Genomic DNA, 14,119 nt, shown 5'->3' with positions numbered 1-14,119 from the left:
ACATAATAACTATGTAGGATGCAAAGCCTATAAGAGCTTCATTTGTTTCATTTTTCTTTCTCATTTAAGATGAGATATTTGAGCTCTCTTTAAAGCTACCTTCAATGGAATTATTTTCTAGATATTAAAGTTGCAGGTTAACAAAACGTCTTTTTGCATGTAAGATAAATGACATCTTTTCCAAGAAAACGAAGATTGATCCTCTCTCAAATATTAGTAGTCAATTCCCATGGAGAACTTGTCTTGGTTAAACCACCCCTTAAATGTAAAGTGAATGTGTCAGTTTCTGAATTAGCTTGTTTTTTTTTTTTTTTTTTTCCACTGCTATAAAGAAATACTCAAGACTGGGTAATTTATAAATAAAAGAGGTTTAATTAGTTTACATTTCCACAATATACCAAAGCATGGCTGGGGAGCCCTCAGGGAGCTTTTACTCATGGCAGAAGGTGAAGCTGGAGCAGGCATCTTCATATGGCCGCAACAGGAGGAAGGGTGCAGAGAGGTGCTGCACACTTTTAAACAACCAGATCTCATTGTTACTCACTCCTGCTGCAACACCACCAAGGGGGATGGTGTTAAAACATTAGAAACTGCCCTCCTGATACAATCACCTCCCACCAGGCCCCACCTCCAACATTGAGGATTATGATTTGATATGAGATTTGGGTGGGGACAAAGATCCAAGCCATATCGGTTTTCTATTTTAAATATTATTTTGTGGTGCATGGTGCTGTAATCCCAGCACTTTGGGAGGCTGAGGCAGAAGGACTGCTTGAGTCCAGGAGTCCGAGACCATTCTGGGCAACATAGTGAATCTCTGTCTCTTCAAAACAAAACATTAAAAAATTAGCTAGGCATGGTGGGACATACCTGTAGTCCCAGCTACTTCAAGGAGACTGGGGTGGTAGGATCACTTAAGCCTGGGAGATTGAAGCTGCAGTAAACCATGATCATGCCACTGCACTCACCTTGAGCAACAGAGTGAGGTGCTATCTAAATAAATAAATAAATAAATAAATAATAAAAATTTGGCTCAGGCCTGTAATCCCAGCACTTTGGGAGGCCGAGGCGGGCAGATCACAAGGTCAAGAGATCGAGACCATCCTGGCCAACATGATGAAACCCTGTCTCTACTAAAAATACAAAAATTAGTGGGGTGTGGTGGCACGTGCCTGTAATCCAGCTTCTTGGGAGGCTGAGGTAGGAGAATCACTTGAACCCAGGAGGTGGAGGTTGTAGTGAGCCGAGATTGCACCACTGCACTCCAGCCTGGTGACAGAACCAGGCTCCGTTTCAAAAATATAATAAAATGAAATAAAATAAAAAAAAATGTATTTGTGCTGTTTGTGGAATCCTGGCAAAATTGTGTGTGTGTGTGTGTGTGTGTGTGTGCATGAGTGTGTGTATGTGTGCCTTGCTGCTATTTGTTTTGATATCTAAGTGATCAGTTTTCATTTTATGGTGGGCTATGATCTGAGTATGATGCTTAAATGCTGATAAACTTGATGCTTAATAAGCAAAAGGGCTTTAGAATGTTTATCCAGGCTTAACAGGGAAATACATCAGGGAATTAAGCATGCGGGTAACACATTGATGATCATTTACCTGTCAACAATCTACCATTTGTATGTCTTAGATGTCAAGGAGAAAGGGATTAAAATAGGCCTGAGAAAGCAGAGATTCCACTAGTGTATGTAGACTGTCAGTCCTAACCTGTTCTGACTTTTATTAAAATAATTATTAAATTTGTATCTTTCTTTGAAATACCTAATACTGCGTTTATTTGGAAGATATGCAGTATAAGTATCAGTGGGTATACTGCCAGATACCAATGTTGAATATCCAAGAGTGAAGTTTATTTTAGACCTACAGACCAGTGGGAATCTGAAGTGATCATTGGTCAGGTATGTTCCACCCCATGATTTAGACACTCACCTATGTCCTCCTAAGTTTTAAACACAAACAAATGAAGATATAGATTTCCGCTTCCTGAACAAGGGCCAAAGTTAGTTGTCAGAAGCATGCTGTCTTGCTGGTATTTACTCACTTATCTTTTCATGCCTATTTTTTTTTTTAATGAAGTAAACTTTTATTATTGAGCAGGAAACCACTAATAAGGAATTTCATGAATAAGGAACTCAAGCTATCATATTTGGGCACCATAACATTTGGGTTGGGGGAAATGGACTGTAAGATTGGTCTGGAGTTGTTAATTAGCAGGGTGGTGAGACTGAAGGAAGGCTGAAATGATGAGGGTGTGGAGAGGTAGACCAAGCGTCAACCTAGATAGGGAAGTAAGAAGAGCCAGAAATTAAAGACTTAAATGTAAAACCTAAAACTATAAAAAACCCTGGAAGATAACCTAGGCAACACCATTCAGGACATAGGCGTGGGCAAAGATTTCATGACGAAGATGCCAAAAGCAATTGCAACAGAAGTAAAAATCAACAGATGAGATCAAATTAAACTACAGAGCTTCTGCACAGCAAAAGAAATTATCAACAGATAGACGACTTACAGAATGGGAGAAAATTTTTGCAAACTATTCCTATGACAAAGGTCTAATATCCAGTATGTATAAGGAACATAAACAAATTTACAAGAAAAAAAAATACCCCATTAAAAAGTGGGCAAAGGGCACTTCTCAAAAGAAGACCTACATGCGGCCAACAACCATATTGAAAAAAAGCTCATCATTGATCATTAGAGAAATGCAAATTAAAGTCACAATGAGACACTATCTCACACTAGTCAAAATGGCTATTATTAAAAGTCAAAAATAATACATGCTGGCAAGGTTGTGGAGAAAAAGGAATGCTTATACACTGTTGGTAGTAGTGTAAATTAGTTCAACCACAGTGGAAGACAGTGTGGAGACTACTCAAAGACCTTAAGACAAAAATAAAATTGACCCAGCAATCCTATTACTAGCAATCCTATTACTAGCAATCCTATTACCATATACTCAAAGGAATATGAATTGTTCTATTATAAAGACACATGCACGTGTATGTTCACTGCAGCACTATTCACAATAGCAAAAACGTGTAATCAACCTAAATGACCATCAATAATAGACTGCATAAAGAAAATGTGTTACATATATATCATGGAATACTATGCAGCCATAAAAAAGAACAAAATCATTTCCTGTGCAGGACTTTGTTGGATGCAGCCGGAGACCATTATCCTTAGAAAACTAAAGCAGGAACAGAAAGCCAAATACTGCATGTTCTCACTTATAAGTGGGAGCTAAATGGTGAGAACATATGGACACACAGATGGTAATAACATACACTGGGGCCTATTGGAGGGTGGAGGTTGAGAGGAGGGAGAGGATCATGAAAAATAACTAATGGATATTAGGCTTAATACCCCGGTAATGAAATAATAGGCACAACAAACGCCTATGACACGTTTCCCTATGTAACAAAACTGCACATGTACCCCTGAACTTAAAAGTTCTTAAAAAAAAAAAAAAAAAAAAAAAAGTAGAGCCAGGAGCTGAGACAGAGTGCGAGAAGAAGAAATAGTAAAAGGCAGGAATTTATGTGCAAGAAATGATTTAGCAGAAGGAATAGAGGTTAAATAATCAGAGATTATCGTAAGAAAGAATGTCAGTATGATAAATTTAGTTTTAACTTTCTTTGTGAATTGAAGACAATTGTTTGGCATTAAAAAAGTGGGTTTGTGGTTAATCAACAAATTAGTGTCCTACAGCATGAACTTTTATATCAGAGCAATATTTTTTTCCATATGAATTTTAGAATAGTTTTTTCTTATTCTGTGAAGAATGACATTAGTAGTGAAATAGGAATAGCATTTAATCTGTAGATTGCTTTGGGCAGTATAGCCATTTTAATGATATTGATTCTTCTAAAAGATTCTGTATATTCTTTAAATATTATAGGCTACAATACTTTACATCAAAGAAATAATATAGACTCTCATTTTAAGGTATCATTTCTTAGCCCTAATTTGTTAATTTCATTTATCTACAAGGCAGTTTTTCCTGTTTTCCTTTTTTATCTGATCAATTGACTTAAATGTGACATAATACAACTGCCAGAGAATGTGAATTAAAGCGATCTCTCACTTTTCCTTTCAGGGAAATCTTGAGGAGTCTGATACTTTTCATCCTCCAGCTATAAAATCATCTTGTAGGGGGAAGCTGTACATTGGTAAGTCTCACTCATTCTAATTTTTCTTTTTAATGCTCAATTTAATACAGTCTTTGGCTTGGCTGTAAGGTAAAACTAGCATGATTCAAAAGATGTCAACATCATTGCTTGACTAATTACAGAATAATTCTTTTTTAAAAATAATTATAATATGATTTTACTTTTGTTTTTAATTACTCTAGTAATAGGAGTGATATTAAAACTTATAGATATAAAACAAAAATTATGTGCTGGAATAAAAAGCAGTATTTTTAATTTTAAAGTTGTGCTAGTATTACTTTTAGCTAATTTTTAGAATATTATATATATTGACACCTTGGCTCACAAGCAATAGCTGAGTGAGGATCCACGAAGAGATCTGAAGCTATGACTTGTAAAAAGCTAATACACTATACTTATTATATATACATTTTATGCCATAAAGTCAAATATGTAGCTATTATGTTTCAATGCATTGTTTCTCTCTTACCAGTATATAGCATTAGTATTTCTTGGTATCATGTTTCTCAGCAACACGCCTCCCCATTTGCCAACTCTCTCTCTCTCATAAATATTTTAAGAGCATGTAGGTTTGTGTGTGTATGAGTGTGTTTCTGTAGGTACATGTACAGAAACACACTCATACACACACACACTTACATGCTCCTTAAAATATTTATCGCATCCAGGTTGCCATTAGTTAATTTCAACTTTCCCAATTCATGTAAACTACAGACTCAGCAGCACTTCTCATGCCCTCACTTTCTGATTAGTGGAGGTTTGGGTGGAATACTTCATCAGTTAAAAATACTCAATCTTCACTCAAGTTCATATACATTGCTATAAAATCATGCAAATTTACTGCTATCTTTATAGATAAATAATAGTAAAAAAATATAAATTGCATACAGTTGAAATGTAAAAAGATATAACAAAAAAGTCATGTATGGAAATTAATAGAATAAAATTTTGGGAATCCCAATCAATCCTAAAAATCCTCGCCTTCTCCTGATTTTTATCAACTTCCAGAAGTTCTATTTGACACTAAATGATTCTTCAAAAATACTAATTCTAAGCATTAGATTGAATAGATATACTGCATGTTGCAAGGTAGCAAGTGTGTTTTTACATTTATACATACAAGTAAGCTTGTACATGTGGCTGATGTGGAAAAAATTCACTATATCAGGAGTTTGAGGAGACATAGAAGAGTCCCCAGGGATCTCATCTGAATATTACTGTTCTGGAAAGTTTAGGGAGTGAAAGAATTTCAGGGAGGTAGTTATAGAGAATTGAAGAGTCAAACAATAGGGAAGAATAACTTGTGTCCCATAGAATATCTCCAAAGATATCTTGGCAAGTTGCCATCTGTTGGCACACATCATTTATGATCACTGTATTGTAGAATCCCTTAGTCATGGATAAGCTTACTAATTTTTTTCTTAGTAATGTCTTTAGTTTTGGGCTACAAGATGTTACACTATGAAGAGAAAAGGGGAAAATTAAATGGCTATAGTAAGAAACCATTTAACCCAAGTTATTTCTGCATGTGTGAACCACCAATTCTATAAAACAGTTGTTTTTCACAGTGTATCAGATAACTTCCTTTGAGTGTTGAGTATTAATCGAGATCTTCCCATTCCTACTCCTTCCAATAGTAGCTCACATTTAATTAATCCTCAGTTCAACTCCAAAACTAGGCAGGTAGGATGTTAAGTGACAAATTCAAGACATTCCAGACTAGGCAGCCTACATTAAATCTTTAATATGAAAGCATTCCTAATTCCTGATTCCACTTATTTGGGACTTCTCATTCAAAACCTAATACTGCTGAACCAATTCAAAATCCTTTTAAATTTTCTGTTATCCAGGGGCCAATTCACCATCTCTTGTCTTCAAAAAATATGCATACCTTTCTGAAATACAGATACATTGTGTCTACATCATTCCTTTGATCTACGAATCTAGTAAACTCCATAAAAAAAATAGGCTCTGCTGGCACAACTCTGTGAATCCTTAAAGACGTATTTGTAGTAGGGACAGAACTAATAGGATATGTGTGTGTGTGTGTATGTGTGTGTGTGTGTGTGTATATATATATATATATATATATGGAGTTTTTTAAGTATTATTAATGTACATGATCACAAGGTCCCACAATATGCTGTCTGCAAGCTTGAGGAGGAGGAGAGCCAGTCCGAGTCTCACAACTGAAGAACCTGGCATCCGATGTTCCAGGGCAGGAAGCATCCAGCACTGGAGAAAGATGTAGGCTGGGAGGCTGGGACAGTCTCGCCTTTTCACATTTTTCTGCCTGCTTTATATTCACTGGCAGCTACTTAGATGGTGCCTGCCAGATTAAGGGTGGGTCTGCCTTCCCCAGCCCACTGACTCAAATGTTAATCTCCTTTGGCAACACCCATACAGACACACCCAGGATCAATACTTGCATCCTTCAATCCAATCGAGTTAACAGTATTAACCAGTAAAGTATTGATTATGGCGTTTTTCACAGGTCACCCAGCTGTTAGATAATTCACTTAAATTCAGCTATATTTTAGGGATCAATTTCTGCCTAACCAAGTCATAGTGCATATTATTAGCTTGTCTTAAAAGAAAATTACTACCTGGCGCTACAGTATCTATACTTGGACCCTGGAATTTGTCCATATTTTTCCTCTACAGAAAGACAAGCACAGATAGATTAATCAATTTTGCTCTTTCATTTTGCATTGGGTTTTTTCTGAGTAGTCATTCACTTCACAAAGGTATCTGTGTTATCTACTATCTACCAAACACTTAAATAGGGAAAAGTTGGTTTGCTACTTTCCCAGAACACAATGAAGATTTAAGCAGCTTTGTACTCAAAGTTCAAGGTTGCTTGTGAATAAAATGACAAACCATAGAGTCCGAAGGTGAAGATGAAGCGGGATGGGAGTATGACAAATTACCTGGTTTGTATCTTCACTAAATAATCCATGGGCAGTGTTCAGGACACAGGATACCATTGATCAAAACCAAGATTTTCTCAACTGGAATTTTTCTATGGGATAGATTCTCCACGTGGAATCCAGTCTTTTTCTCACCCATCACCAGGCCCCTCATATATTTGACCCTTCTTATTTCCCTGAGCCTTTCCTTCTCCCAGGTATCCCTCCTAGGAGTTAACATTAGTCTAGTCACTCATGTTTCTTCTCTTTTCAGTCTATAGCTTTCATGATAGAACTCATCTACTCTTGTAGCTTCAAGGGTCATTTCTATCTCGTGATACTCAAACCAACAGGTACTCCTAAGGCCTTATTTCTGAGAAACAAATCAACATATCTATTCGATAGCACATTAGCTGCTTACCTTAAAATATGTGAAAATTGAATTCATATTATCACAAACACCTTTTCTTTTGTTTTCTCATTTCTGTGAATTAAAGGGTATCTACCCAGTTTCCCCAAAAGAAACCTAGAAATATATTTGACTCCTTTCTCACCTTCTCACCTATCTTATCATTTAACTCGAAAAACCTTGTCAAACCCACTGTGTTAGTCCATTTTCATGCTGCTGATAAAGACATACCTGTGACTGTGGCAATTTACAAAAGAAAGCGGTTTCAGAGACTTACAGTGCCACATGTCTGGGGAGGCCTCACAATCATGGCGGAAGGTGAAAGGCACATCTTATATGGTGGCAGACAGGAGAAGAAAGCTTTTTCAGTGAAATCCCACTCTTTCAAAAACCATCAGATCTTATGAGACTTATTTACTATCAGGAGAACAGCACAGAAAAGACCCGCCCCCATGATTAATTACCTCCCACCTGGTCCCTCCCACAACACATGGAAATTCAAGATGAAATTTGAGTGGGGACACAGCCAAACCACATCTTTCTGTCCCTGGCCCCTCCCAAATCTTATGTTCTCATATTTCAAAACCAATCATGTCTTCCTAACAGACCCTCGAAGTCTTAACTCATTTCAGCATTAACTCAAAACTCCACAGTCCAAAGTCTCATCTGAGACAAGGCAAGTTCCTTCTGCCTATGAGCCTGTAAAATCAAAAGCAAATTAGTTACTTCCTAGGTACAATAGGGATACAGGCACTGGGGAAATACAGCCGTTCCAAATGGGAGACATTGACCAAAACAAAGGGGCTACAGGCCCCATGCAAATCCAAAATCCAGCAGGGCAGTCAAATCTTAAAGCTCCAAAATGATCTCCTTTGACTCCATGTCTCACATCCTGGTCATGCTGATGGAAAAGATGGGTTCCCATGGCTGCCCCTGTGGCTTTGCAGGGTATAGCCTCCCTCCCAGCTGCTTTCACAAGCTGCCATTGAGTGTCTGTGGCTTTTCCAAGTGCACAGTATAAGGTGTCAGTGGATCTACCATTCTGGGGTCTGGAGGATGGTGGCTCTCTTCTCACAGCTCCACTAGACAGCGCCCCAGTGGGGACTCTGTATGGGGGCTCCAACCCCACATTTCCCTTCCACACTGCCCTAGCAGAGGTTCTCCATGAGCACCCCACCCCTGCAGCAAACTTCTTTCTGGACATCCAGGTATTTCTGTACATCCTCTGAAATCTAGGCAGAGGTTCCCAAACTCCAGTTCTTGACTTCTGTGTAGTCACAGGCTCAACACCACATGGAAGCTGCCAAGACTTGGGCCTTGCACCCTCTGAAGCCATGGCCTGAGCTCTATGTTGGCCCCTTTCAGCCACAACTGGAGCAGCTGGGACACAGGGCACCAAGTCCCTAGGCGGCACACAGCCCAGGGACCCTGGGCCCCACCCTGCCATCTCCTAGGCTTCTGGGCCTGTGATGGCAGGAGTTGCTGTGAAGACCTCTGACATGCCCTGGAGACATTTTCCTCATTGTCTTGGTGATTAGAATTTGAATCCTCATTACTTATGCAAATGTCTGCAGCCGACTTGAATTTCTCCTCGAAAATGGGATTTTCTTTTATGCTTTGCTTTCCTTATAAAACTGAATGCCTTTAACAGCACCCAAGTCACCTCTTGAATGCTTTACTGCTTAGAAATTTCTTCCGCCAGATAGCCTAAATCATCCCCCTCAAGTTCAAAGTTCCACAAATATCTAGGGCATGGACAAAATGCTGCCAGTCTCTTTGGTAAGAAATAGCAAAAGTCACCTTTGCTCCAGTTCCCAACAAGTCCCTCATCTCCATCTGAGACCACCTCAGTCTGGATTTCATTATCCATATCATTATCAGCATTTTGGTCAAAGCCATGCAACAAGTCTCTAGGGAGTTCCAAACTTTCCTACATTTTCTTGTCTTCTTCTGAGCCCTCCAAACTGTTGCAACCTCTGCCTGTTACACAGTTCTGAAGTCAGTTCCACATTTTTGGGTATCTTTTCAGCAGCGCTCCACTCTACTGGTACCAATTTACTCTATTAGTCCATTTTCACACTGGTGATAAAGAGATCCCCAAGACTGAGCAATTTACAAAAGAAAAAGGTTTAATAGACTTACAGTTCCACATGGCTGGGGAGGCCTCACGATCATGGCAGAAGGTGAAACGCATGTCTCACATGGCAGCAGATAAGAGAAGAGAGCTTGTGAAGGGAAACTTCATTTTTTAAAAAACATCAGATCTTGTGAGACTTATCACAATCATAAGAACAGCACAAGAAAGACCCGCCCTCATGATTCATTTACCTCCCACCAGGTCCCTCCCACAACACATGGGAATTCAACATGAGATTTGCATGGGGACAAAGTCAAACCATATGACCCATCAATGGACAGGTGGGAGATATTACAGGAATAATAAAAACTTAATCCAATATACTTTTAAGCCATGTTTAAAATTCATCAGTGGAAACAAAATCCATTAGGAAAAACAAAATAATCACCCTCATCTAAAGGAGAAAAAGGCAATTCATATCAAAGTAAGAGGTAATGCTGTTATATTTTACCATTTAGTTCAATGCCTTTTACTGGAAACTTCAATCTGTATGATTTTATTTCATTAATACTTTAGTAGTTTCTATTACATATATGTGCATATATTTTTATATAAATATTTTTAGAAAAAATGTATTTTTTGCCATAACCATGACAAGTTCAATGCTCAAAATTTTTCAATAGGCAGTATAAAGGAGAATAACCTTATGTGCCATATATTGTTATAACAAATGCTTCCACATATATTGACTGAACATGTATATTCTTCTCTTATCCTGTTATATTTTATAATACACATGACATGCTTACACTTGACCAAATATTAATCATGTTTTGGCACTTTTGTACAGAAACTTAGCAGACCCAAAATACTGTTGGAAGGAGGTACCTATGTATCTCTCCATGATAGTGGGCCATGTTTGTGAACTAGGGAATCTTTGTTTCCCTGACAGCTTGGAAAAGGTCAAATTCTGTCTACCTCTTTTCCCCCCAGCTTTATTGCCTGTGCTTTTATCTCAAACAACTATTTTTAACAACATGATGAAAAGTTCCCATTTATTCACTAAACATATATTTTAATTACTGGAAGAAGAAATTTTGGTTACCTACAGATATATGATATAATATATTCATTCACATTGTATTTCACTTTCTATTTATTTATAGCAGACATTTCCCCCCAAGTGTAAGATTTTCAGGAATCTGACTCTAATTCCTATCAATGGCCAGAGTGAACTGAATTAATAGAAAGAATTGCCCCTTTTTATTTATTTTACCAAGGCCAAGTCTCTAGAGAAATGCTTTATTATTGCAGACAATACATTCTCTGGTTTGCTGGCTGCCTTTAATGGGATGTTAAAATCGATTGGAGCTATTTCTCTGTCACCTGAGAAGCACTGCAGGTTTAGTGGTGTGTTGCAATTTTATATCCTTCTCACGTCTTTTTTTTTTTTTTGAAAGACACTCACTAAACCAAGTGTCTTACTTGCTTGTGAGACCGCAACTTCCTTTTTCTGAGGAAATAATTCTTGTAAATGTATAACATACATGGAATCCAGTCCCCACCGTGATGGTTGTGTCAAAGTCATGATACATAATATTGTCTATTGTGAAAACTACACTGAAATTGTGGGGAGGTTCAGATTTTGCTGTTTACAATTACTGACAGTGCTCCTCTATTGAGAAAACAATGCCCCCTTGTGATGGCAGGTGTATTATTGTAACTGTACTGTGACTGCTCCAAAGGATGAGCACAGATTATGGGCTAAGATAAACAAAAATTATTTTTTGTCCATCGTTGTCTTTTTTGTTTCACTCTATTAAAACAGTTATTTCCATGACTCTTGAGAAACTTAGGCAGGCAACTTGACTTTTCTAGTAATTTTTAGATGCTAAAAAATATGTTCACAATCATTTCAGATCTTTTAAACAATGTCAGTTTATTTCCAGTCCCATGGTTATTTAATGTTGAGACTTCTCTTCTCTGCCAAGTTTGTGCCATTTGTAGGCTAGTAGTCTAAGAAAGATGGAGTCATCAGCTTCTTTCCATCTCCTTGTTCAATCTTTGTACTATTTCTCCTCCTCCAGCTAGCCAAAGGCAGTTTTAGAATGTTTGGCTTTGGGACATGGTGAAAGAACTGTATGAGGAGCACTCAAATTTTTAGTTAACTGGCATTGGCTTGGACTGGTCGTTATTTAAAGCTGGCACTTTCTCATCAGTACATTTGTGGTTTCTCCAGAAACACCATCAATTGCAAGAGACATATTAGAGCAGCACTGGTTATGCAAGTGGTGAACTCTACTGAGATCCATTGCTTAACCCTTCCTTAGCCTTGAAGTATCCTGAGTTAATCTCTAGTTTCTCTTTCTTGAGATCTGTTCATGCCTGCCTGGTCTTCCTTTGGTTAGGATCTTTTCTTACCCTTTATATTTCTCAAGTGGTGAGGTTGAAATGTTCCGTGAACTGTAGCACAGGTGTTTATTTAATCATCCACATGGTTTCCTCAGAGTCTTTCAATCTTGACTTGGGATGAATAGGTTACACCTCAAATTTCTTTAAAGTCAGTGGAGGCGGCACAGCTCTCTCCAAGGAAATCGTCTTCAAATATCATCCAATTTCTTATTTTCTAAAAGTGGGTGAGGGATTTAAAGGTTATCTAATTTTTTAAAAAGTTTCTCAGATTTCTCTAAAATTTGCATCGTATTTGAAATGTGCTCAGCCAAACACCCATTCTAAATCTCTTTTATATGTACCAAGAGAGTCTGAAAGAAATGTGAATTCTCCTATGATGAAAGTTGGCAAAATCTGGTAAAACCAGCTTAAATCTGGCTGTCTAATGGTTTGTATTATGGTTATGTACATCTACACATATTTTTATAATTATCATTCTCAGGCAAAATTGCTTAAGAATCATAAAATTTCTAAATTTCTTGAAGGATTTGGACAAAATTGGACATTGGAAATGTGTAAGCAGTTCAGATACCATCTCGCACCAGTTAGAATGGCGATCATTAAAATGTCAGGAAACAACAGATGCTGGAGAGGATGTGGAGAAATAGGAACACTTTTACACTGTTGGTGGGACTGTAAAGTAGTTCAACCATTGTGGAAGTCAGTGTGGCGATTCCTCAGGGATCTAGAACTAGAAATACCATTTGACCTAGCCATCCCATTACTGGGTATATACCCAAAGGATTGTAAATCATGCTGCTATAAAGACACATGCACACGTATGTTTATTGCGGCACTATTCACAATAGCAAAGACTTGGAACCAACCCAAATGTCCAACAATGATAGACTGGATTAAGAAAATGTGGCACATATACACCATGGAATACTATGCATCCATAAAAAATGATGAGTTCATGTCCTTTGTAGGGACATGGATGAAGCTGGAAACCACCATTCTCAGCAAACTATCGCACGGACAGAAAACCAAACACCGCATGTTCTCACTCATAGGTGGGAATTGAACAATGAGAACACATGGACACAGGAAGGGGAACATCACACACTGGGGCCTGTTGTGGGGTGGGGGGAGGGGGGAGGGATAGCATTAGGAGATATACCTAATGCTAAATGACGAGTTAATGGGTGCAGCACACCAACATGGCACATGTATACGTATGTAACAAACCTGCACGTTGTGCACATGTACCCTAAAACTTAAAGTATAATAATAATAAAATTTAAAAAAAAGAATCATAAAATTTCTAAATTTCTTGAAGGATTTGGACAAAATTGGAAATGTGTAAGGAGTTCAGAAATGAAACACTTGAGACTAGTGAATTAGGACATGACTACAGTGCTGAATATAACACAGCATGTCATATTTTTCCTTAAAGTATCACATTATGAAAGTTAATTATACAATTACTATAAAAGTGTTGAGTCTGTCACAAAAGACTTATATAATAAGGGGTTCCATTTTCTCAAGACACCAGGCATTCACACTGAGCAATAAAACAAAATAAACAACAAATAAAAATTCCTTTCAGGAGAAAATTGCCTTCCTGGTTCAGAAGCAGCTAGAATTTATAAGTCTCTATTTAGGTAATAGTGCATAAACTTACTTTAGAATAAATTAAATTCATTACTTAAATAAAATACTAATACTGTAACCAACAAGGATAAAAATGCTTATCATAATTAAATTATACATTACTGAAACATTTGTTATCCCACATTAAAAATACATCTTATGACACTGACAAAGCAAATATTACTTTCACATGACATTTGGAAATATATCTAAAAATGATTGAAAATATATCTAGTGTTAATATAAAAATATAGAAAGTACTCATGATTGGAAATAATAAGCTATTTAATTTAAACCAAAATAATTAGAGCATATCAATTAAAGCTGTCATTGTGAAAAATATGTACTTGAAGTAATTCATAATCATTATATTGTAAACCACTGAAGTCATTTTGAAGCATAAGAACAAAGAAGCATTTTTGAGAAGAAACACTGCTATGTCTATCATGAATGTGAAGAATGTTAACCTTTATTAAACCTTTATTAAATGAAGTTTTTT

The 14,119-nt window shown here is 37.2% G+C and overlaps 1 protein-coding gene across 38 annotated transcripts in view; it reads left to right on the top strand.

The window, feature by feature from the left end:
• Positions 1-14,119, top strand: part of PTPRD (protein tyrosine phosphatase receptor type D) — a 2,298,757-nt gene that overhangs the window by 575,104 nt on the left and 1,709,534 nt on the right. For all 38 annotated transcript variants that reach the window (NM_002839.4, XM_017014961.3, XM_006716827.5 and 35 more), the window contains one exon: positions 4,109-4,181. The gene's annotated coding sequence lies outside the window, so the exon portion shown is untranslated. The remainder of the gene's footprint in view (positions 1-4,108; positions 4,182-14,119) is intronic.

The sequence above is a fragment of the Homo sapiens genome, chromosome 9 (assembly GCF_000001405.40).
Source record: "Homo sapiens chromosome 9, GRCh38.p14 Primary Assembly".
Lineage (NCBI taxonomy): Eukaryota > Metazoa > Chordata > Mammalia > Primates > Hominidae > Homo > Homo sapiens.
Note: the sequence above shows the minus strand (reverse complement) of the source record. Positions and strands in the feature narration are given on the sequence as shown.